Below are 21,500 nucleotides of genomic sequence, written 5' to 3'. Positions count from 1 at the left end.
AGTTTGTGAAGTGTCTTGTATGTAGTGGGATCTCAAAAGTAATCATTCATAATAGTAGGCAGTCAATTCATTGATTTATTTTATAACCATCCCCTGGTCCTTTCTTTGGCCTCAGCCTTGTGCTGGGCACTGGGGACCTGAAAGTAATCAGACCTGGCCCTACCTTGAGGGGTTCAGTGTGGTGGAGGATTGTGATACTTCCAGGATGAAGCAGAGACAGCAGAGGCTCTAAGAGCCATGAAAGTCATGGAGGGGAGGGTTGTAGAAAGACGTGATCTCTTCTGATGGGAGTGCTATAGAGGCTTTCTGGAAGAGGTGGCCTTCGAGCTGAGTTGGAAAAGAACTGTGTGAACAGAAACATAGGCAGGAGGTGATGTTTCAAGCAGCTGGTGTTTTAAGTACCCCTAAGACAGAGACACCTTGAATGCCAGAGTGAAAAGCTGGACTTTGTCTCTGCCACTGTGTAGGTGCTGGAGGATGAGGCCCGGGAGCAGGGCCGGGGCATCCATGTCATTGTCCTCAACCAGGCCACGGTGAGTTTCTAGGGGTGGGTGACCCAGAGGGCTGGAGCTGGGCTCTTGCTGATGACACCAACTCACCAGAAGTATATCCCCTGCCAGGGCCACGTGATGGCAAAACGTGTGTTTGACACGTACTCACCTCATGAGGATGAGGCCATGGTGCTATTCCTCAACATGGTAGCGCCCGGCCGAGTGCTCATCTGCACTGTCAAGGTCAGTTATTCTGTCCTGACCCTGACCCCTACTCCCTAGCTCCAACCCTGCTTCTAGCCCCGGCTTCTCTGCCCCTCATATAACATAGTGGGAAGATTCTCTGAAGGAAGGTTACTCAGGTTCCAATCTCAGCCTTAACATTTGTATTAATTCAGCAAATAGTTATTGAGCAACAGCTGTATGCCAGGTACTTCTCTGGGTGCTGAAGATACAATGGGAAACAAGACAGAGTCCCCACCCTCATGGAGCTTATATTCCAGCAGTGGGAGGTCAACAGAAACAGCCAAGTAAATGTGGATAATGCTAGTAAATGATAACTTGTATAAAGAAGAAAATAAAGCAGGGGATAATGAATGATAGAGGGGAGGGGACATTTTAGAAAGAGAAGGCCCCTGCAAGGAGATGATATGTGAGCAGAAAGCTGAGGAATTGAGGAGTGAGCCAGGTGAGTATCTGGAGGAAGAGCATTCCAGGTGGAAAGAATGGCAAGTGCAAAGCCCCTATAGTGGGAAGGTACACGGCATATTTGAGGAACAGCAAAGATGCTAGTCGAGGTGGAGCAGAATAAGGGAGGAGAGTAGGAGAGTGGTTGGAAAAGAAGGCAGAGAGTGGCGGGAGAGAGAGGTGCAGATCGTGTGGGTTTGTGGAAAGGACTTATTAGCTGGATGACCTTAGAATCTCTAAGCCTTCAGTTATTATTTTATCTGTGAAAGAGAGTAACCATAGAGGGTTATTGCAATAATGTAATGAGCTATTTTAAGTAAAAGGTTGCTACATAGTTCGTGCTCTGTGAGGCCAGGTCTCCTGGAACCATGCCAGTCAGGCTAACTGCCTTCTCTGGTCCCCCAGGATGAGGGCTCCTTCCACCTCAAGGACACAGCCAAGGCTCTGCTGAGGAGCCTGGGCAGCCAGGCTGGCCCTGCCCTGGGCTGGAGGGACACATGGGCCTTCGTGGGACGAAAAGGAGGTGCCGGCATCAGAGGCCATCCACTCTGTAGTATCAAGAGCCTGGGAGGAGCAGAACCCTAGGAGATGGGGTGGGGTGGGGAACAAATAGGAGCCAGTGGCAGTGGGTTGGATGAAAGTAGGCAGGGAGATGGGAAAAAGCCCCCAAACTGGTGTCTGGGCCCCCATGGCCCTCATTCCTGCCTCCTGCCAGGTCCTGTCTTCGGGGAGAAACATTCTAAATCACCTGCCCTCTCTTCCTGGGGGGACCCAGTCCTGCTGAAGACAGATGTGCCATTGAGCTCAGCAGAAGGTGGAGTTAGTGGAGCATGGATGGGGCAGGGCCTGGGCTGGGGGTGGGCATTTAGATCTCTCTGTGGAGCTTTATTCCTTTGATTGTGTGCCTGGGGCTCTTCAAACCTTGCTGGCCCCATGCCTCCATGACAACCGCATCCTTCCCTCAGAGGCAGAGTGCCACTGGGCAGACACAGAGCTGAACCGTCGCCGCCGGCGCTTCTGCAGCAAAGTTGAGGGCTATGGAAGTGTATGCAGCTGCAAGGACCCCACACCCATCGAGTTCAGCCCTGACCCAGTGAGTGGGGCCTTAAGACAGTGAGGTTTGGACTCCTTCCCAGCTCAGCAGGGGGGCCCCAGGAATGATCTAGGTTGGGCTTTCCCTACCTGAGCCTGGGAGAGAACCAGGGGCAGGATTTACACTGCGCTCTGAAAGACAGGGCTGGGGTGAAGGGGCAGGCCATGTGAGTAAAGCTCAGCGCTAGAGTTGGGCTGAGTGTGTGGAGAGCCCAGAACAGGGAAGATCCTCTATCCCTTCCCTGTCTACTCCAGTCTGCACCTACCCTCACCTGAGAAGTCTTCCCTAGGTGGGGATCCCAGTTTGAAGGGGGAATAAGGCAAGAGCTAAACGCTATTTCTCCCACAGCTCCCAGACAACAAGGTCCTCAATGTGCCTGTGGCTGTCATTGCAGGGAACCGACCCAATTACCTGTACAGGTAAGCCTGGGAATGGGCTATACCCAGCACTGAACAGGAGGGTGCTTAGGTCATCTACCTCCAGGAGGAACTCTTGAGGTGGGCAGAAAGGCAATAGATTCTAGACGCATTCACCTCTGTGGGTAAGCATAGGGACTCTGGGCCCAGCTGTAAACACAGGGGAACCTGAGTTGAGGGGTGATGAAGTGACCCTAACCTATCCCTGGGCTCCCCAGGATGCTGCGCTCTCTGCTTTCAGCCCAGGGGGTGTCTCCTCAGATGATAACAGTTTTCATTGACGGCTACTATGAGGTGAGCAGGACTTGGGGGGTGCCTCGGGTGGAGTACAACATGGAGCAGCAGTGATTGCCAGGGACGGGCAAGGGAGACCGCCCAGGCAAGGGCTGTGAAATGTGAAGGCCTTGGATTGCAGAGGTGGGCAGAGGGAAAGTGACCTCACATGGTGAGCAGTGGCCATGTCCCCCAGGAACCCATGGATGTGGTGGCACTGTTTGGTCTGAGGGGCATCCAGCATACTCCCATCAGCATCAAGAATGCCCGCGTGTCTCAGGTACTGCATAGGCAAGTGGGGATGGGGCAGACACCTGGCTCTGCCTTCTACCCTAAAGCTCATGTGCCCTATTCCCACCCCACTCCCAGCACTACAAGGCCAGCCTCACTGCCACTTTCAACCTGTTTCCGGTGAGTACTAAGGATACAACTCTTGGGCCTGGGAGGGGGGAAACATGGGCATAAGGTCTGGGCCTGTTACGTGGCAAGCTCTTCCCCTCACTGGGCCTCATCCTTCACATCTGGAAAATGGGGGTAATGCTGCCTGCAAGAAGAGGGTTGGGGGCAAAGGAGATCACAGGATGGAGAGACCCCTTTGGGACCATGATGTCCCATTCCCCTTCTAGGAGGCCAAGTTTGCTGTGGTTCTGGAAGAGGACCTGGACATTGCTGTGGATTTTTTCAGGTGAGGGGAGTCTCTAGGTTTCAGTTGAGGTCCCTCAGTCTGCAGGGAAAGAGTCAGTGAGGTGTCCTAGAGAGCTTTCTGGAGGACATGAGCTCACAAGTGGGGGCGAAGCCTGGGCAAAGGTAGGATGGCAGGTGTTGGGGCTGCTGTTGAAGGTACAGTGGATGAATGGAGACAGTGGGGATTTGGGGGAAGGAGGTACTCCAGGAAGGAGGTGCTCCTGAGACCCAGCTCCAGCAATTCTAGCATCTCTGTGTGACTAGATTTATCCTTGTCCCTCCCTGAACTCTTTGACCCTGCCTCTCTCAGTTTCCTGAGCCAATCCATCCACCTACTGGAGGAGGATGACAGCCTGTACTGCATCTCTGCCTGGAATGACCAGGTAGGCTGGAATGACCAGGGTTTAGCAGGCGAGTTTATGAGGCCTCAGCTAATACCTCCCACTATGGCACCCTGTCCCCAGGGGTATGAACACACGGCTGAGGACCCAGCACTACTGTACCGTGTGGAGACCATGCCTGGGCTGGGCTGGGTGCTCAGGAGGTCCTTGTACAAGGAGGAGCTTGAGCCCAAGTGGCCTACACCGGAAAAGGTAACTGTCAGGGTAGGGTGAGGGGGCTGGAGTCCCCTACCAACTCGAAACATCTTAACCTTCATCGTGGTCCATGTCTGCCAGCTCTGGGATTGGGACATGTGGATGCGGATGCCTGAACAACGCCGGGGCCGAGAGTGCATCATCCCTGACGTTTCCCGATCCTACCACTTTGGCATCGTCGGCCTCAACATGAATGGCTACTTTCACGTGAGTGGGAGGCAGGGAGCAGGGCACAGTGTGGCATGACAGTCAAGAACAAGAACATGGACTCTGAAGCAATCTTAGCTCTGCTACTTGCTAGCCATGTAACCTTGGGGAAAGAGCTATCCTATTTTTGCCTCAGTTTCTTTATCTGAAAAATGAGGATAAAGGGCTGGGCGCGGTGGCTCACGCCTGTAATCCCAGCACTTTGGGAGGCCGATGCGGGTGGATCACAAGGTCAGGAGATCGAGACCATCCTGGCTAACATGGTGAAACCCCATCTCTACTAAAAATACAAAAAATTAGCCGGGCCTGGTGATGGGCGCCTGTAGTCCCAGCTACTTGGGAGGCTGAGGCAGGAGAATGGCGTGAACCCAGGAGGCGAAGCTTGCTGTGAGCCAAGATCACGCCACTGCACTCCAGCCTAGGTGACAGAGCGAGACTCCATCTCAAAAAAAAAGAGGATAAAATACTACTACCTCACTGGGTTACGATATTTTGAGGTTTAAATGAGTCAATATATGTAAAGTGCTTTGAATTATAAACATATATAAGGGTCAGCTGGTATTGTTTTTATTTTTACTATTTTTAGCACTAGACTGTGGGTGTCTGGGGAGAGTATTTCTGCCTCTAAGTACTGGTCCAGCCCTGCAATCTCTGCCCTTTCCTGTTTTGGCAAGTGCTGGAGCCTATGCTTCAGCCTGAGGAGAACAGGGAAGTCCTTAGGTACCGCCAACCCACCTGGCTGCATTCAGAGGACCATTCCCCAGTTACAGCAAGGGAGGCCTTGAGCCAGCCCAGCCCAAAGGAATGAATAGCGTCCAGCTTGGAACCTCCTAGAAGCCAGAGGTCCCTCAGAGGCTGACTAATACGCGAGCCCCATTCCTCTCCCAGAGAGGGGCAGGCGCTTCCCTCAGGTCACTCTCAGTACCAGAGTCAAAGTAGTTTTTTCCTTCCCAGCCCAGCCCGTCCCTTTGCCCACCACCTCCTGCAGGGCCTGTTTCTGACATCTGTGGCTCTAGAACAGCAGGCCCAGGGAGAACTACAAGAGGCAGGGACTGCTAGTTCATGGGTCTGTGGTGCAGTAGTGTGAGCTGCCGTGACAGCATGAGCTCTCCAGCAATGGTGGAGGCCAAATTAAAGCTAGTAAGAGCTTGCTGAGGATGCTGCAAAGAGGATGGAGAAGACGGTGGGAAATTAGAGGGCTCTTTACAGGTCTAGGACTTCATTTGTGTGTCTTATAGATGTCTGGCTGGTCAGCAAGTGGGTGTGGGCCAGACAATGTGAGGTGCTGATTTTCACTCTCATACCCACTCCAGGAGGCCTACTTCAAGAAGCACAAGTTCAACACGGTTCCAGGTGTCCAGCTCAGGAATGTGGACAGGTTGGGGCTGGCAGCAGGGCAAGGGGTGGATATCTAGGAGATTTGGAGGCCAGTCCCTGAAAGTCCCTTCCAATGCTGGGCCTGTGTGTTTACTCCAGCCCTGCGGCTACAGATTCCCATGTGACCCCTTGCCCTGCTCAGTGCTACCCATGGGACCTGAGGGCCTGCCCACTCCCCTGACCCATTTCTCCCTCCTCTTCAGTCTGAAGAAAGAAGCTTATGAAGTGGAAGTTCACAGGCTGCTCAGGTATGGCCTAGGACAATTGGGGTGTAGCAGGGAGCAAAGAGTCAAATACTGGGGATCTTGGCCCCATAATTTACAGGGTCCTGTGCAAAATGAAAATCAGGGCCCTCATCTCAAACATTAGGAACTTCAGGCCGGGCGCGGTGGCTCACGCCTGTAATCCCAGCACTTTGGGAGGCCGAGGTGGGTGGATCATGAGGTCAGGAGATCGAGACCATCCTGGCTAACACGGTGAAACCCTGTCTCTACTAAAAATACAAAAAATTAGCCGGGCGTGGTGGCAGGCGCCTGTAGTCCCAGCTACTTGGGAGGCTGAGGCAGGAGACTCCAGCCTGGGCGACAGAGCAAGACTCCATCTCAAAAAAAAAAAAAAAAAAAGAACTTCAAGGTGGCAACAGCAGAGCATTCAACCAAGTACAGGGTCCTGTGGGACACACCCATGAAGTGGGCCCTGTCTTGGCTATATTCTCCCACCCTCTACTGCAGTGAGGCTGAGGTTCTGGACCACAGCAAGAACCCTTGTGAAGACTCTTTCCTGCCAGACACAGAGGGCCACACCTACGTGGCCTTTATTCGAATGGAGAAAGATGATGACTTCACCACCTGGACCCAGCTTGCCAAGGTGCTCCAATACCATGCCCACCCTGGAGAACCCCTCCCCCTCACACACATACTGCCCCAAGATCCAGGGAGCCTTTGCTCTGGAATCTTCAACCTCAGAACCTCCTCTTTATACTCTTAGAACACCTCTTCCAACCTCCTTGTCCAAATTCATATTCTAAAAGATGCTATCTCTTACAAATTGAGGTGGTTTCTGAGGAGGGGTGGGGGCTGGGCCAAAGGGTCGTCAGTGACCCCTCCCTACAGCTCTCTGACCCATGTCTCTGTCTCCATCCCACCCTCACTAGTGCCTCCATATCTGGGACCTGGATGTGCGTGGCAACCATCGGGGCCTGTGGAGATTGTTTCGGAAGAAGAACCACTTCCTGATGGTGGGGGTCCCGGCTTCCCCCTACTCGTGAGTGACCCTTTTCTGCCCTGGGAAACAGGAGGCCTAGTGAGATCCAGGGATATAGCTAATGGCTTCTTCTCTATACATTCTTGTATTATTTTCCCAGAGTGAAGAAGCCACCCTCAGTCACCCCAATTTTCCTGGAGCCACCCCCAAAGGAGGAGGGAGCCCCAGGAGCCCCAGAACAGACATGAGACCTCCTCCAGGACCCTGCGGGGCTGGGTACTGTGTACCCCCAGGCTGGCTAGCCCTTCCCTCCATCCTGTAGGATTTTGTAGATGCTGGTAGGGGCTGGGGCTACCTTGTTTTTAACATGAGACTTAATTACTAACTCCAAGGGGAGGGTTCCCCTGCTCCAACACCCCGTTCCTGAGTTAAAAGTCTATTTATTTACTTCCTTGTTGGAGAAGGGCAGGAGAGTACCTGGGAATCATTACGATCCCTAGCAGCTCATCCTGCCCTTTGAATACCCTCACTTTCCAGGCCTGGCTCAGAATCTAACCTATTTATTGACTGTCCTGAGGGCCTTGAAAACAGGCCGAACCTGGAGGGCCTGGATTTCTTTTTGGGCTGGAATGCTGCCCTGAGGGTGGGGCTGGCTCTTACTCAGGAAACTGCTGTGCCCAACCCATGGACAGGCCCAGCTGGGGCCCACATGCTGACACAGACTCACTCAGAGACCCTTAGACACTGGACCAGGCCTCCTCTCAGCCTTCTCTTTGTCCAGATTTCCAAAGCTGGATAAGTTGGTCATTGATTAAAAAAGGAGAAGCCCTCTGGGGATGTCTTGTGATTGTGATTTTGTGTGTCAGGGGGGTGCTGGAGGGAAGTGGTGGAGAGAATACTTGTGTTGGATGGTGAGTTTTCCTTACTGTCCTCCACAGAGTTTATCTTCCATTTGGGGCCATTTGGCCACCAGGGGATGCCTGAGTCTCAAACTCCAAGGTTTTTCCCCAACTCTACCCTAGGACAGCTTGACTTTAGCCCCGCCCTACTTGAGGCTTGGAGCAGCCACCCTACCTCTTCCCCACCGTTTAACCACCAGCCGGGTTCCTGCTTATCTTGCCTGGGCCGGGCACCTGTCCCCAGAGACAGAGCAGGAGAGAACAAAAAGGGATACTGGGGAGTTGGAAGAGGAAATGAGAGAGCAGGTGTGCATAGTAGGGGTGGGAAGGAAGTGGATGGGACAGGACTGGGCAGGCATCATTCAAGAGACGGGCTAGGGTGCAGATGGAGATGTAGGAGCAAGGGTGTCTATGGCCCTTAGAGCACTTTGCTATTCAGAATTCTCTATCTGGGCATTTTTGTGGAGAAATGGGTCATGGTCTTCATCAGATTCTCACATAGCCAGTAACCCAAAGAGGTTAGGAAGATCTAAGTTAGTCATAGGGGCACCAGAAAATGGATGGGATTGTCCAGAGGGAGTGAATGAGAAAGCCTACGGCAGGGAAAAGAACATTTAAGGGATCTGTGAAGGGCCTAATGTCAGGAGGATGAGTGTGGAGCACCTCTTCAGAAAGGGTCTGCCTGCCTCTGTACAAGTACAGAACTCCAGCTGGAACTCCAGCCCTCCTGCCTGCTCTCTGCCCTGCCTCTTTCACAGGTGCTTGGAGCCCAACTCGGTGACAGCATGGGTGGTATGTCGCTTGGACATATCTCGCCACCCTGACGCCTTCAGTGTTTGTTGGAGCTGGATATAGTGCCTGAGGTGGCACAACAGCCAGGTTGAGCAGCAATTAGCCCATGATGAGGTAGAGGCCCGCCCTGGGCAAACAAATCCCATGCAGCCTCCACACAGGCACACGGCAGAGGAGAAGTGTGAGAGGCACAGTATGGTGGTGAAGGGGTGAGGCAGGCTAGCTCCTCCCCCTGTCCCGCACCCTAGCAGGCTCCTGGTCTGGCCCTCACAGACCAGCTCTAAGGCACTGTTTGGTTCTGGCCAGGTCCCTCTTCCTTTCTGGGCTCAGCAAGGGGGTGGTGGTTCTGGGCTGCCCTGGAAAAGCTCAGGAAGAGAGTTACAGGGGTCAAAGGGAAGTAAGGAGGGGGACTGGTTTGTTAGGCTGGGCTTTGCTTGGTAGCAGACACTGTACCCTCTTGCCATAGCCTCCCTCAGGCCTCTCACTCCTGGCTCAACAGTGATCAGGTCTATATCAGACATTCTGGCCAGCTGCCCCTTCAAGTGGAACTAGTACCATGTCAGCCAGGACTACACCAGGTGCTGGAGTTCTGGGCCCAAATCTAGGCTGAGCTCTTCACAGAAGCCTGTGGGACTGGGGCAAGTATCTTGGCCTTTCCGATCCCTAGTTTCCTACCTGGAGCATAGGGATAGTTAGGGCTAAAGAAGAGATGAGGTCTAGGTCAGGTGAGGTGGCTCACGCCTGTAATCCCAGCTCTTTGGGAGGCTGAGGCATGTGGATCACCTGAGGTCAGGAGTTCGAGACCAGCCTGGCCAACATGGTGAAACCCTGTCTCTACTAAAAATATAAAAAGTTAGCCGGGCGTGGCCGGGCACGGTGGCTCATGCCTGTAATCCCAGCACTTTGGGAGGCCGAGGTGAGTGGATCACGAGGTCAGGAGATCAAGACCATCCTGGCTAACACAGTGAAACCCCGTCTCTACTAAAAATTCAAAAAATTACCCGGGCGAGGTGGCGGGCGCCTGTAGTGCCAGCTACTCGGGAGGCTGAGGCAGGAGAATGGCGTGAACCCCAGGGGGCGGAGCCTGCAGTGAGCCGAGATCGCGCCACTGCACTCCAGCCTGGGCGACAGCGAGACTCTCTCAAAAAAAAAAAAAAAAAAACACAAAAATTAGCCGGGCATGGTGGCAGGTGCCTGTAATCCCAGCTACTCAGGAGGCTGAGGCAGGAGAACTGCTTGAACCCGGAGGCAGAGTCCGCAGTGAGCCGAGATCACACCATTGCACTCCAGCCTGGGCAACAAGAGCGAAACTCTGTCCCAAAAAAAAAAAAAAAAAAAGAAAAGAAAAGAAAAAGAGGTGAGGTCTGAAGAACACCAGGTAGGCCAGCAGCAACGAAAAAATGAAGTGCTTGCTGAGATCCCAGAAGCAGGGACAGATCTGGGGTTTTGCCTGAGTGGGAAAGGCAGGCAGCCTGGACCCTAGGAAGGGGGCTCCTGAAGGGCTTCCCAGAACCTAAGGAGTGACCCTTTCCCATTGCCCTGGTAAGAATTCGTCACAAGCTTGTTATTTTCATAGCTTTCCAGTCCAGTGCCCCTACCCAGGAGGGGGTAGTTTCAGTCCAAAGTTCTCCCCTTTATAAGGAGGCAGACTGGCCTAACCCAACTGTACTTCTTCATGCCCTCTCAGCCATCCCTCTTAGTTTCCCTCCAAGGCCTGGAACCCAAATGAAGGGGAGAAATAACCACTTCTGACCCCCAACCCCACCCTACTTCCCTCCTTTCCAGGGCCTTCTGAGTTGGCAGCCCCACAGGAATCCGTGGCCAGTTTAGGCCCCTCTCCCCAAGGATACATGAAGAGTCCAACTGGCAACATTGTAACAGGTTTATGCATTTTGAAGTGCCTTCTACACATCCACCCAGAGGCTCTGCTGATTTCACTTATGCCCAGGCTATAAAATGCCTTTCTCTCATCCCCCAGTAGAGCACTGGGATCACCACTAGGCCTAGGGGGCATATCAAGGGTTTAATAGACTGGGGGAATGGGCAACAGAACTGGCTACCTTAGAGGCTCTGGAATGCCCCCCACCCATCCACCCACCAATGGAAGGAAAGTCAGGCATCGCCTAAAAGGAGTGGTCCCTATCTAGCCCCAAGTCTGGAGCAGAAAGGGCAGGTCCATTCTGGCCCAAGTGACATTGTTAGATCCTGTCCCCTCCCCCAATCACTGCTGCTTGCCAGGGTGCCTCTTCACAGTTCCCATGTGGCAGCAGTAGTGGCAGAGGCAGAAGTGGACTTATTGTAGATTGCAGTACAGATACATGGACACAATCATGGCAGCCAGCTGGAGAGGGAGGAACAGGGAGAGATGAGGGAACATGATAGGGATCCTGAAGCCTGTCCCACAGACACCCTACCTGAGGCCCAGTTAGAAGTCTGTTTCCTCCAGAGAGGCCTCAGATGGGTTGAGCAGCCCTGGTCTCATGCCCATGTCCCAGTCCCAGCCTCCTCATCTGCTTACCTCGAGGCCCCCAATTCCAGCTGCCACACCACCCACGGTGACTGCATTAGTTCGGATGTCATACAAAAGCTGATTGAAGCAACCCTTCAGGAAGAGAAAAGAGCATTTATAGTTGGCAGCTGCCCTACTCCCATCCCCGTTTGCCACTCTGAGGCCATGAAAACAGTCCCCACCCACTCATGCCAGCCCACACCTCTACTTTTTGGTCGTGAGCCTTTTGCTTGGTGCAGGTTTCATTGGCTGTGTTGGTGACGTTGTCATTGCAACAGAATGGGGGAAAGGCACTGTTCTCTTTGAAGTAGGGTGAGTCCTCAAAATCCGTATAGTTGGTGAAGCCACAGCACTTGAGCTGGAGACAAGATGAGGGTGGAGGTGGGGCCTTGCTTCTTTCTCTCCACCCTAAAACCTCCCCCAGCCAACCTTACCCCTTTCATGGTGGTGTTCCACACTTGAGTGAAGTCTTCCTGGGAACCATAATCTTTCTTGATGGCAGGCACTACCAGCAACGTCAGGAAGTGCTCAGCCTGGGTGAGGCAGGCCAGTGTTTAGGGGCTGGTACAGAAGGTGGCCATTCACAGGCCACAGCCCACTCCCAGGGTTTTGCCCAATCTTCTTCCCTTCCTCCATCCCAGTGTCTCACCATTGTGGTGTACACCAAGGCGACCACAGCAGCTGCAACCTCAGCAATGAAGATGAGGAGGAGGATGAAGAAGAACTGAGTGGGGAACAGGGGTCTGGGTTTTAGGGAGAGACAGTCCCTCATGCCCTCCTTGCCCTAATCCCCCCCCCGGAAAAGTGAGACAGAAGCCTGAGCCTAGGGGGGTCCAAAGCAGGGTTTGGGAATCCCAGGGCCTGGTGTCAAGGGCGAGGGGACTCTTGGTCATCAGCCTGTGGAGCTGGGTTTCACACACCGTCACGAGGGCACACTTGCTCTCAGTCTTAGCACCATAGCAGCCCAGGAAACCAAGAGCAAAGACCACAACGCCGGCTGCGATGAGGAAGTAGCCCACGTTGACAAACTGCATGGCACTGGACGACAGTGGCCCGAAGATCTTCAGAAAGGATGCCCCATCGATTGACACCCAGATGCCCACTGCCAACAGGGCTGCACCACACAGCTGGGGAGAGAGAGGTCAGGCAGGCCTTAAACAGTGCTGGCAAGTAGCTTACTACCACACAGCTGAGTAAGAAGGATGGGAGCCGAGAAACTTCCCTCTTTATTGGCTAGGGAGTCTAAAACCTCATCCTGTAAGGAGGGAAACATCCTCTAGAGCCAGAAAAATGGGAGCTGGGATATGCATAGCTAGGACCAGGCTGCACACCTGGGCAGATATAAAGGAGATCAGGGGTTCTAGAAATATCCTCAGGGTGGGCAGAGGGGCAAGACTTTCCCTCACTGCTGCCAGGGTCCTGCCACATAGCTAGGATTGAAAACAGGCAGGTGAGGGCCCAGCCTCCTATTTCCTTTCTGGGCTATGGGTGCCTAGAACACCTCTGTCCTCTGATAGGTGGAGACGGGGGTGGTAGCAGAACAGGCTCAATAGTCACCATAGTAATGGAGGCGAGGCTGAGGTTCCACCTGCTGGCAACCTTGGAGAGGGAGGAGGTTGAGAAGGTTCACCCACCTGAGGCCCCATTTGGCTCCCCTCCAGAATCCAACTTCAGGCCCGCCCCTCATGTAGACAAGACCTCCTTGCCTCACAAGAGGAAAGTGAGGTACCAGTGGGAATACAGCCAGAGCTTCTCTTAAAGGCTGTCTAGCTCAACTCCAAACCTCAGGGGGAATTCTGAGGCCTAGATTGAGGAGGGCCCTGCGCAGTTCCCACAGATCTTAGAGGAAAGCCTCCCGGCCCAGGGCTTCAGTGGATGAATCAGCCTGACACCACCTTGGTGACTAGTCCTCACTTGCCAGCTATAAAAACTGAGGCTAGAACGGGAAGTGAGGTGGCAGATTGTGGCTGGATTCCAGGCATGTTTGCCCAAGGACAGAAAGCTGGACTTCTAGCCTGCAGGGTCAAATTTCATGGAGCTGGAGGTCTGCCCTATCCTGCTTTGCCCAGCCTGGCAAGGTCTGGGTAACAGAGGCCAGAAATCAAACCGGATTTGCCTTTAACCCTCTCAGGGCAGAGCCTCTCCTGTCCAAATCCCTGGAATCCTATTGCTTCCTCCAGATACAGGGATAAAGACTAGTTCAGGACTGGCACAGTGGCTCATGCCTGTAATCCCCGCACTTTGGGAGGCAGAGGTGGGAGAATCACTTAAGTCCAGGAGTTCGAGACCAGCCTGGGCAATATAGTGAGACCGCCTCTACAAAAAAAATTTTTTTTAATTAGCTGAGCATGGTGGCACACTCCTGTAGTCCTAGATACTCAGGAGGCTGAGTGAGGTAGGGGAATCCCTTGAGCCCAGGAGGTTGACGCTGCAGTAAGCCATGATCATGCCACTGCACTCCAGCTTTGGTGACAAAGCAAGATCCTGTCTCAAAGAAACAAACAACAACAACAACAACAACAAAAACACAAGTTCCCTGCAGCCGAAGGAAGCCCAAGGCACAGACCACATCAGAACTAGAGAGTCTACCCACGCTTCTAAACTAATCAATACATACATAAACTCTGTCGCCCAGGCTGGAGTGCAGTGGTGTGATCTTGGCTCACTGCAACCTCCGCCTCCTGGGTTCAAGTGATTGTCCTTCCTCAGCCTCCCAAGTAGCTGGGATTACAGGCATGCGCCACCACATCCAGCTAATTTTTGTATTTTTAGTAGAGACGGGGTTTCACCATATTGGCCAGGCTGGTCTCGAACTCCTGAGCTCAACTAATCTGCCCGCCTCAGCTTCCCAGAGTGCTGGGATTACAGTTGTGAGCTACTGCACCTGGCCCACTTCCTCACTTTCACTTACACTAACCTACTCTAATGTGGTTAGTGTACTACTCTCCTTGTTTTCCTCTCCCCCTCCCACTGCTCCTTCTCCATCTCCTTCACAGTGGCTTTTTTTTTTTTTGCTTATCCCTAATAAATTGGGTTTCCCAGAGTTCACTTTCCAAGTGTTCTCATCCACTCCCATGGCTTCAGTGGCTACCTGTGCGCACATGATTTTCAAATACCCATGGCCAGCTCCAATCTGAGCTGCACCTCCACTGGGTACACATCTGCTAGTGGGACACCCCTTCCCACAAACCAGGCCCCACCCCCTGCCATCTGGGTTGCTCATGCCAGAGATATGGGCGTCATCTCCAAGACCTCTGTCTCCCTTGCCCCTTCTTCTACCCCTCAGCCATCATCCTAGAGCTTTGTCCTTTGTCCACTTTGTCCGTTTCTCCCTATCTCCACCACCATCTCCAGGATTTACGCCTCATGGCTCAGCTTCTCAAACATGCCCTATGCAATCTGTTTCTGGTTTTCTGAACGATATCAAGTTTCACTACTTCTGGCCCTTTATGCATGCTTTATAACTCCCCCACCAAGTGCAATTTCCCAGCTTCAGCTATTTCCTCCAGGAAGTATTCTCCAACCAGGCTGAGTTCAGGCTCCCATAACCTCCGTCCTAAGCCCAAACACACTGTGTTGTTATTATCTGCCTATCTGGCTTATCGGAGCTGAGATCCTTCAGGGCAGAGAAAGGCTTTGCTTACCTGCCACCCCAGCACCCATCATGGTATCCTAGACAATGAATGTTTGTCGAATGAATAAGGACTGTTGCTCTGATGAGAGGTAGGCCCTCCCTCCTTTCAGCTCCCCGTCATACAGAAGAATTTCCTCTGTACTGAATTTCCTTCTGTGGTAGGTAAACTTGGGTGGAGCCCTTCTATTTTCTGGGCCCCCAGTGCCTATAAAGGGTGGAGAATCATTCCTGGTAGCTTACTCTGCCCTGCCTGAAGCCTAGGCTAAAGCTTTGTAGGAGAGAGGGGGTGCCCCTAGCTTCTCCATCCCCTTTTTCACACACGCACCTGTATGGCAGCCTGGCTGCTGCTGGGACTAGGAATCAGCAGCATTTGGGGAGACCTTTGCATCCCACTCATAAGGGGACACATGCAGGACGAAGCCTGGGCATAGCAGTCTCCCATTCCCCAGCTTAGTCTCTACTCAGCTTGTGACCTGCTCCTATAGGGAGCCCCAAAGAGTCCACAATGTCCGTACTTACAAAGATGAGCAAATTGAAGAGGATCATCATGGTCTTAATGAAGCTGAAGCACTGCATGGTGGCTCCTGGGAGGTAGACATGTGCAAGTTAGGGCCTTGTTTCCCCTGGGCCCACCTGGGCTGGCCCTGGCTTCAGATATTCAGCCAGATATGCCAGACCCCAGGATCCTGAACCCATATCTCACCAAGCTTCTCCTGTACCTGGTCTGACACAGACCTTTTCCCAGTTTCTATCCTAACACCCTTACCCCTCTATACTACCCAGGACCTCCACCAGCACCTGACACTCTGAGATCCTAACACCCCAGGTTCCTCCACCTGCACACCCAGCCTGACTCCCACACTGCAGGTCACTCCATGCTCTTTCCTAGCACCTGTATATCCTGTGCTCCCCCCCACACTAACCCCAGACCCTCCCAGAACCCTCACTAGAGCCCCTCCAGCTCCCCAGACCTGTTTCCAGATCGATATCACTTCACAGGATAATCTGTATCCCTATCCCATTACCTGTTCAGGGCTCTTGGCAGTGAGTTCTGAAAGAGGGAACTGCTGAGGCTCCACAAAGGACAAAACAGCTCCCGGGTGTTGCCACTGAGTGGGCAGGCAGAGGGACGCCTGGCTCTCACACACCACTGCTCACCTGCAGGCAGGGTAGGCGCTTTAAAGCCTCCTTCTGCCCGCCTGCTGGCCCCACCCGTGGCCAGTTAGCCTCTCCTTGACCCTGCTGCCCCCTGCTGCCTGGAGACCGATCCCCACAACCACTGCCTCAGCAGGCCTCCACCTGGCAACACCAGCCCTGGGCAACGCCCCTCCTGATCTCAAGAAGAAGCAGCCCAGGGGTGGGGCAAGTGGCTTCCCAGAATGTCTGCGTGCCCTCCACCACAACAGTGTAATGTGCTTCTTACCCTGCATCTGCTGATACACTCATACATACCCTCTGTGCTCATGCTCACATGCACATGCATCTGCTCATGCTGCCATCCATATGTTCATACAGCAAGCACCCAGTTACATACATAAACATGTGCTAGTGTTCCTGAATGCATGTGTGTGTGTGCGTCCGTGCGCACACACGCACACTAAATTCTTTGTGGACTGACTCCCAGCAACTAACAAACAACAGAATAATATCTGATGTACGTACTTAAGTATCTCTTTCACTCACACACACACACAAACACACACACACACACACACACACTCCCTCTTTCTCTTTCTCTGTCTCTCACTCACTTTCAAGGAAATGACTGAGATTTGGCAGCTTCCGCTCTCTCCTGCGAGTAGCAAATAGTTCCTAATCCTCTTCCCTCCATGAAACCTCACATTCCCCATTTTTCCCCTCCCTTCATCTTTCCATCTCCTCTCCTTCCCCATCTTTTTCTTTTTCTCCTTCCCAGTCTTCTCTTAGCGCTCTGTGTACACCCCTTCTCTTTCTGCCAGTAGGTGGCACCATGGTCTCATGAAGGAGCCACCCCCAGTTCCAAGGCTCTGTGATCCCATCTTTGTTACTCCTAGTGGGGCTGCCTGACCGCTTCCTGCTCCAGCACGCCTGATGTAGAGGTGCGGGGGAAAAGTCCTGGCTTCTGGGTCATTCAGACCAGGTGCTGGAATCCTGGCTCTGTCGCTTATGAACTGTGTGACCCTGGGGACTTTTCTTAGACTTGGTTTTAAACTTCTCTTTCCTGGTCTTCTGTGTAACAGAATAGTTCTGGGCTTTTCAAATGAGATTTTCTTCCTGCTCTAGAAGGAAGGGACAGTAGGGAATGAGCACAGAGCAAGAAGGTCAAAGTCGAGAGAGTCACAGGCAGTGGGGCTATGAGATGGAGGAAGTTGATTTTTTTTTTTTTTTTTCTGAGACAGGGTCTTGCTCTGTTGCCCAGGTTGGAGTGTAGTGGCAACATCACAGCTCACTGCAGCCTTGACCTCCTGAGCTCAAATGATCCTCAGCCTCCCAAGTAGCTGGGACCACAGGTATTTGCCGGCACTCAAGCAAATTTTTTTTTTTTAAACAGATGAGGTCTTGCTATGCTATCCAGGCTGGTCTTGAACTGGGCTCAAGTAATCCTCTGCCTCAGCCTCCCAAAGTGATGGGATTACAGGCATCAGCCACTGTGCCTAGCTGAGGAAGTGGATTTCTAAGTTTGTTTTGTTTTTATAGTGAAAGGAGGCAGCTGAAGAGACAGAAGAGAGAGGGGCTAATAGTATTACAGACTACACTAATAATACTGATCTTATTTTAAATGTCTTGCATATATTAAGGCTTTTTTTCCTCTTCACAACCATCCCATGAGATAGACTTTCTGATCTCCATTTTTAAATATGGGGAAATAGAAGCACCAAAGGGTCAGGTACTTGCCATGATCACAAAGCCTGTAAGTGGCAGAGCCAGGATTCAATCCCAGTTAGTCTGGCACCAGAGTCTACATCTTAACCACCAAGCAGACTGTCTACACTGATGGAATCTCTAAAGAGGCAGACAAGGCTGGCTTCCATAAAGAGCAAGGGAAGAGGCCTTGGTCTGACCTGAGGAAGAGGAGGAGCAGGGGCAGGTCGGTTTATAGTTACAGTTGCTAGAAGTTGGTGGAAGCAAGGTCATATTTTAAGACTGAGGATGGCAAGAGTAGAGGCTGGAGGAGGGGATGGGGGAAAGATGAGGTTTGTGAGGGTGGTACTAAGGGTGCCACAGAGTCCTCCACAAACAGAAAGGAGGATGAAGTTGGGAAGGGGGCATTTGAGGAGCAGAGTAAGGGGGAAAGGAAGAAGGGACTGAGGAGTGGAAGGAGAAGGAGAAGGTCTATTTTTTTTTTTTTTGACAGAATCTCACTCTGTTGCCCAGGCTGGAATGCAGTGGCGCAATCTTGGCTCACTGCAACCTCCGCCTCCCAGTTTCAAGCGATTCTCCTGCCTCAGCCTCCTGAGTAGCTGGTATTATAGGTGCACACCACCACACCCAGCTAATTTTTGTATTTTTAGTAGAGACAGGGTTTCACCATGTTGACCAGGCTGCTCTCGAGCTCCTGACCTCAAGTCATCCACCCACCTCGGGCTCCCAAAGTGCTGGGATTACAGGCGTGAGCCACCGCACCTGGAACCTTTCTGTTTCATTCTCAGGAAGAATTGGGACCAGATTACATTCATCTATGGCCCTGGTGCTTGGCACATAAGAAGTTGTCAGTGAACATTTCCTGAGTGAATGAGTGCAGAATAATGAGAGTTAAGTGCTCTGGGTTTTGGATCTTGATCATCATGGATTTGCTTCCTGCCTGCCTCTAATTGTGTGACTTCACCTCACTGAGCCCCAGTTTCCTTATACAGTGGATCCTCCTTATTCACAGATTCCATACCTGTGAATTTGCCTGCTTACTGAAATTTATTTGTAATTCCCAAACCAGTACTTGTGGTACTTTTGCAGTCATTCATGGACATGAGCAGAAAGGCAAAAAATTTCAGCCGTCCAACACACGTATTTCCAGCTGAGGTCTGTTGAGCAAGAGGACTCTCTGTCTTCTTATTTCAGTTTTCATAGAGTAAACAAATGTGCTTTTTGGTGGTCTATTTAGTGACGCATATTCTCACATTTTTTGGTGTTTTTTGCTGGTGATTTTACTGTCTAAAATGGTCCCCAGTTGTAGTGCTGAAGTGCTCTCTAGTCTTTCTAAGTGCAAGAAGGCTGTGATGTGCCTTATAGGGGAAATATGTGCTTTAGATAAGTTTCATTCAGGCACAAGTTATAATGCTGTTGGCTGTGAGTTCAATGTCAATGACTCAAATATAGATAGATAGTTAGATAGATAGATAGATAGATAGATAGATATATTTTTTTTTTTTTTGAGACAGAGTTTCACTCTTGTTGCCCAGGCTGGAGTGCAATGGTGCAATCTGGGCTCACTGCAATCTCCACCTCCTGGGTTCAAGCTATTCTCCTGTCTCAGCCTCCTGAGTAGCTGGGACTACAGGCACCCACCACCACACCCAGCTAATTTTTGTATTTTTAGTAGAGATGGGGTTTTGCCATGTTAACCAGGCTAGTCTTGAACTCCTGACCTCAGGTGATCTGCCCACCTCGGCCTCCCAAAGTGCTGGGATTACAGGCTTGAGCCACCATGCCTGGCCAACAATATATATTAAATAAGGTGTCTCCACACATAAAATCAGGTTATATGTATAGATCAGTTGACAAAAATATTGTGACCAGAGGGTTTCAGGAACCTAACCTTGCATTTACCCTTTGTTCAGTATTTAGTGTTTGTGGCGACTTTATAGAACATTACTGGGAATAATGAGAATTGACTGTATATAAATAGGTATAATGATGGCATATCCTTGTAAAGTAGCTGAGATTAAATGAGATAACGTTGGTAAAGTGCTCAGCACAGTGTCTGGCACGTAGTAAGTGCTCAAAAAACATTGTTAATATTGTTACTATATGGATAAGTGAGAAAGTGAGGAAGTGAGTTCCGCCTCTAGGGCCTCTTTTCCCAAGGGGCCAAACTGAGGCTGTCTGGCTCTTGGGCTGGCTTTTAGGCCAGACCCAATAAAGAAGATTGTGAAGGAGCCTGACCCATGAGGAGGGGCCAGGGCCCACGACTTGTAATAAAGGGCCCTGCCCTTATGCAGACTTTGTATGTCATAGAGGCCTCAGCTACCCTGGCCAACAGCACCCCCCAGGCACACTGCAGAAGCTCCCTGTGCCCATGGGGCCATCTCGGCTTGTCCGTGGCCCTCGGCCCCAGGGCATGCGTTCCCCCTACCGCAGGCCAGGTATGGGCTGGCCCAGGCCCCGATTTCCCAGGATGTTCAAGTGTAGCCGCAGAAGATATCAACAGGGTCTCCGAGGTCGAACTGCCAGCAGTGCAGCCATCAATCCTGCCACCAGGGCCATGGGTATCAACAACACCCACACTGACACCACCATAGTGTGGATCTTCCCACCTCAAGGTTAGCCAGGGGGCCTGTGAGCCAGGGTGGGGTTTTAAAAAACAGAGCCACTAGGCTGGGTGCGGTGGCTCATGCCTGTAATCCCGGCACTTTGGGAGGCCAAGGCGGGCAGATCACAAGGTCAGGAGATCGAGACCATCCTGGCTAACACGGTGAAATCCCATCTCTACTAAAAATACAAAAAAAAATTAGCCGGGCGTGGTGGCACACGCCTTTAGTCCCAGCTACTTGGGAGGCTGAGGCAGGAGAATTGCTTGAACCCGGGAGGCAGAGGTTGCAGTGAGCCAAGATCGCGCCACTGCACTCCAGCCTGGGTGACAGAGCTAGACTCTGTCTCAAGAAAAAAAAAAAAAAACCAGAGCCAGTGAAGATTTCCCTACCTGGTTCTGTTTAGGCACGCCAAAGGATGATCTCTGTGAAATAGCACCCCTACATATATGGGGGACTCCTGATGGCAGGCACCCCAAAGTGCTGACAGCCTTAATGGAGGATGGATTGGCTGGAAGCAGAGGGTTTGGGGAGGGGCTGAATCCAAGAGGCAGGGAACTTCCAGAACTGCTTCCTTCCTCAAACTCTTCCCTCTCCTTCCTCTCCTCAGTTCTCAGACATCTCAGGCAACCTGGGATTTTTCTGATCCTCTAGAAGTGCCCAGAAGCTAGCCCAGAAGCTTGGTTTGCCCTGGACCTGCATCTCCTAGGGGCCGTGTGGGTGGTGAACAACAAATACAGTCATTCTGCTCAAACTGCCTTATTCCACACAGAGGTGTTAACCAGCTGACTATGCAGGGCGTGAGGGGAGGGTTATGGCTGAATACTTACAGGGAAAGGCTTCAGTGACCGCAGCAGGGATCATAGTTTAAGACAGCAGGAGGACAGGACAAGGTCAGCAACATAGACCATCTTTGGTCTCAGCTCTTGATCTGCCCCATGAAGTAGGGGCTCTCTTGCCTTACACTCCTAACTGCACAGGGAGAAGGGTCTCTGTAAACATCTTGGAAGGTATTGGGAGGCACAGATCAGAGAGGGATAGGATGAAAGACTGAACCCTGAGAGTACACAAGTATGAGGTGGATGTGAGGTGGATGTGCCTCTGTGTGCCTGTGATGGTCAGCGTGTAGGTGTAGCTGCTGGTGTGTGTGTCTGAGGCCGGGAGAATAGGAGTATCAGTAGATGTGGCTGAATGT

General features: G+C 52.0%; 4 protein-coding genes across 21 annotated transcripts in view, besides 2 other annotated features; 3 read left to right on the top strand and 1 right to left on the bottom strand.

Annotated features, from left to right (window-relative positions):
- POMGNT1 (protein O-linked mannose N-acetylglucosaminyltransferase 1 (beta 1,2-)) overlaps positions 1-7,862 on the top strand; it is a 31,623-nt gene extending 23,761 nt beyond the window's left edge. For 5 of the 12 annotated variants that reach the window (NM_017739.4, NM_001438691.1, NM_001437653.1 and 2 more), the window contains 18 exons: positions 468-533; positions 621-734; positions 1,584-1,701; positions 1,894-1,992; positions 2,144-2,271; positions 2,620-2,690; positions 2,906-2,981; positions 3,157-3,240; positions 3,330-3,371; positions 3,587-3,645; positions 3,955-4,027; positions 4,109-4,237; positions 4,322-4,447; positions 5,761-5,825; positions 6,028-6,072; positions 6,556-6,691; positions 6,978-7,087; positions 7,188-7,862. In NM_017739.4, coding sequence (NP_060209.4) covers positions 468-533; positions 621-734; positions 1,584-1,701; positions 1,894-1,992; positions 2,144-2,271; positions 2,620-2,690; positions 2,906-2,981; positions 3,157-3,240; positions 3,330-3,371; positions 3,587-3,645; positions 3,955-4,027; positions 4,109-4,237; positions 4,322-4,447; positions 5,761-5,825; positions 6,028-6,072; positions 6,556-6,691; positions 6,978-7,087; positions 7,188-7,275 — 1,629 coding nt within the window. In that variant the 3' untranslated portion in view covers positions 7,276-7,862. The remainder of the gene's footprint in view (positions 1-467; positions 534-620; positions 735-1,583; positions 1,702-1,893; positions 1,993-2,143; positions 2,272-2,619; positions 2,691-2,905; positions 2,982-3,156; positions 3,241-3,329; positions 3,372-3,586; positions 3,646-3,954; positions 4,028-4,108; positions 4,238-4,321; positions 4,448-5,760; positions 5,826-6,027; positions 6,073-6,555; positions 6,692-6,977; positions 7,088-7,187) is intronic. The other 7 variants (NM_001438686.1, NM_001438688.1, NM_001410783.1 and 4 more) reach the window with 3 other exon arrangements.
- Positions 56-21,458, bottom strand: TSPAN1 (tetraspanin 1). 7 transcript variants are annotated; one of them, XM_047421003.1, is made up of 10 exons: positions 21,136-21,458; positions 20,698-20,816; positions 15,887-16,019; positions 15,381-15,445; positions 12,148-12,354; positions 11,877-11,951; positions 11,662-11,760; positions 11,430-11,585; positions 11,237-11,320; positions 56-343 (listed from the first exon to the last, which is right to left on the bottom strand). In XM_047421003.1, exons 4-10 carry the CDS (start codon positions 15,435-15,437, stop codon positions 245-247), a joined length of 777 nt encoding a protein of 258 aa, XP_047276959.1. In that variant the 5' UTR covers positions 15,438-15,445; positions 15,887-16,019; positions 20,698-20,816; positions 21,136-21,458; the 3' UTR covers positions 56-244. The 7 variants fall into 7 exon arrangements, with proteins under 7 accessions (XP_047276959.1, XP_047276878.1, XP_047276938.1 ...); XM_047420922.1 differs by lacking the exon at positions 20,698-20,816 and adding an exon at positions 18,724-18,886; XM_047420982.1 differs by lacking the exon at positions 20,698-20,816 and adding an exon at positions 18,724-18,859.
- Positions 11,899-11,948: an enhancer, noted in NCBI's record as "active region_995". NCBI's record gives its function as "activates an Ori minimal core promoter by ATAC-STARR-seq in GM12878 lymphoblastoid cells {active_cell/tissue: GM12878}" and the evidence as "EXISTENCE:reporter gene assay evidence [ECO:0000049][PMID:35858748]".
- Positions 16,939-17,038: an enhancer, noted in NCBI's record as "active region_994". NCBI's record gives its function as "activates an Ori minimal core promoter by ATAC-STARR-seq in GM12878 lymphoblastoid cells {active_cell/tissue: GM12878}" and the evidence as "EXISTENCE:reporter gene assay evidence [ECO:0000049][PMID:35858748]".
- On the top strand, positions 20,057-21,059 carry P3R3URF (PIK3R3 upstream open reading frame). The gene is made up of 2 exons (NM_001328655.2): positions 20,057-20,317; positions 20,916-21,059. Exons 1-2 carry the CDS (start codon positions 20,074-20,076, stop codon positions 20,957-20,959), a joined length of 288 nt encoding a protein of 95 aa, NP_001315584.1. The 5' UTR covers positions 20,057-20,073; the 3' UTR covers positions 20,960-21,059.
- Positions 20,057-21,500, top strand: part of P3R3URF-PIK3R3 (P3R3URF-PIK3R3 readthrough) — a 136,349-nt gene continuing 134,905 nt past the window's right edge. Inside the window, exon 1 of the mRNA NM_001303427.2 lies at positions 20,057-20,317. Coding sequence (NP_001290356.1) covers positions 20,074-20,317 — 244 coding nt within the window. The 5' untranslated portion in view covers positions 20,057-20,073. The remainder of the gene's footprint in view (positions 20,318-21,500) is intronic.

Source organism: Homo sapiens, chromosome 1 (assembly GCF_000001405.40).
Source record: "Homo sapiens chromosome 1, GRCh38.p14 Primary Assembly".
Lineage (NCBI taxonomy): Eukaryota > Metazoa > Chordata > Mammalia > Primates > Hominidae > Homo > Homo sapiens.
This window is presented reverse-complemented; position numbering and strand designations above follow the sequence as displayed.

Excerpts from the sequence above, each read along its gene's own strand:
- P3R3URF (NM_001328655.2), top strand. The coding sequence starts at position 20,074 with ATGGGGCCATCTCGGCTTGTCCGTGGCCCTCGGCCCCAGGGCATGCGT. Across the intron at positions 20,318-20,915 it reads GTGGATCTTCCCACCTCAAG|TTCTCAGACATCTCAGGCAA; the intron begins GTTAGCCAGGGG and ends TCCTCTCCTCAG.
- TSPAN1 (XM_047421003.1), bottom strand. The coding sequence starts at position 15,437 with ATGCAGTGCTTCAGCTTCATTAAGACCATGATGATCCTCTTCAATTTG. Across the intron at positions 11,952-12,147 it reads GCAAGTGTGCCCTCGTGACG|TTCTTCTTCATCCTCCTCCT; the intron begins GTGTGTGAAACC and ends TTCCCCACTCAG. Across the intron at positions 11,586-11,661 it reads GGAACACCACCATGAAAGGG|CTCAAGTGCTGTGGCTTCAC; the intron begins GTAAGGTTGGCT and ends TCTTGTCTCCAG.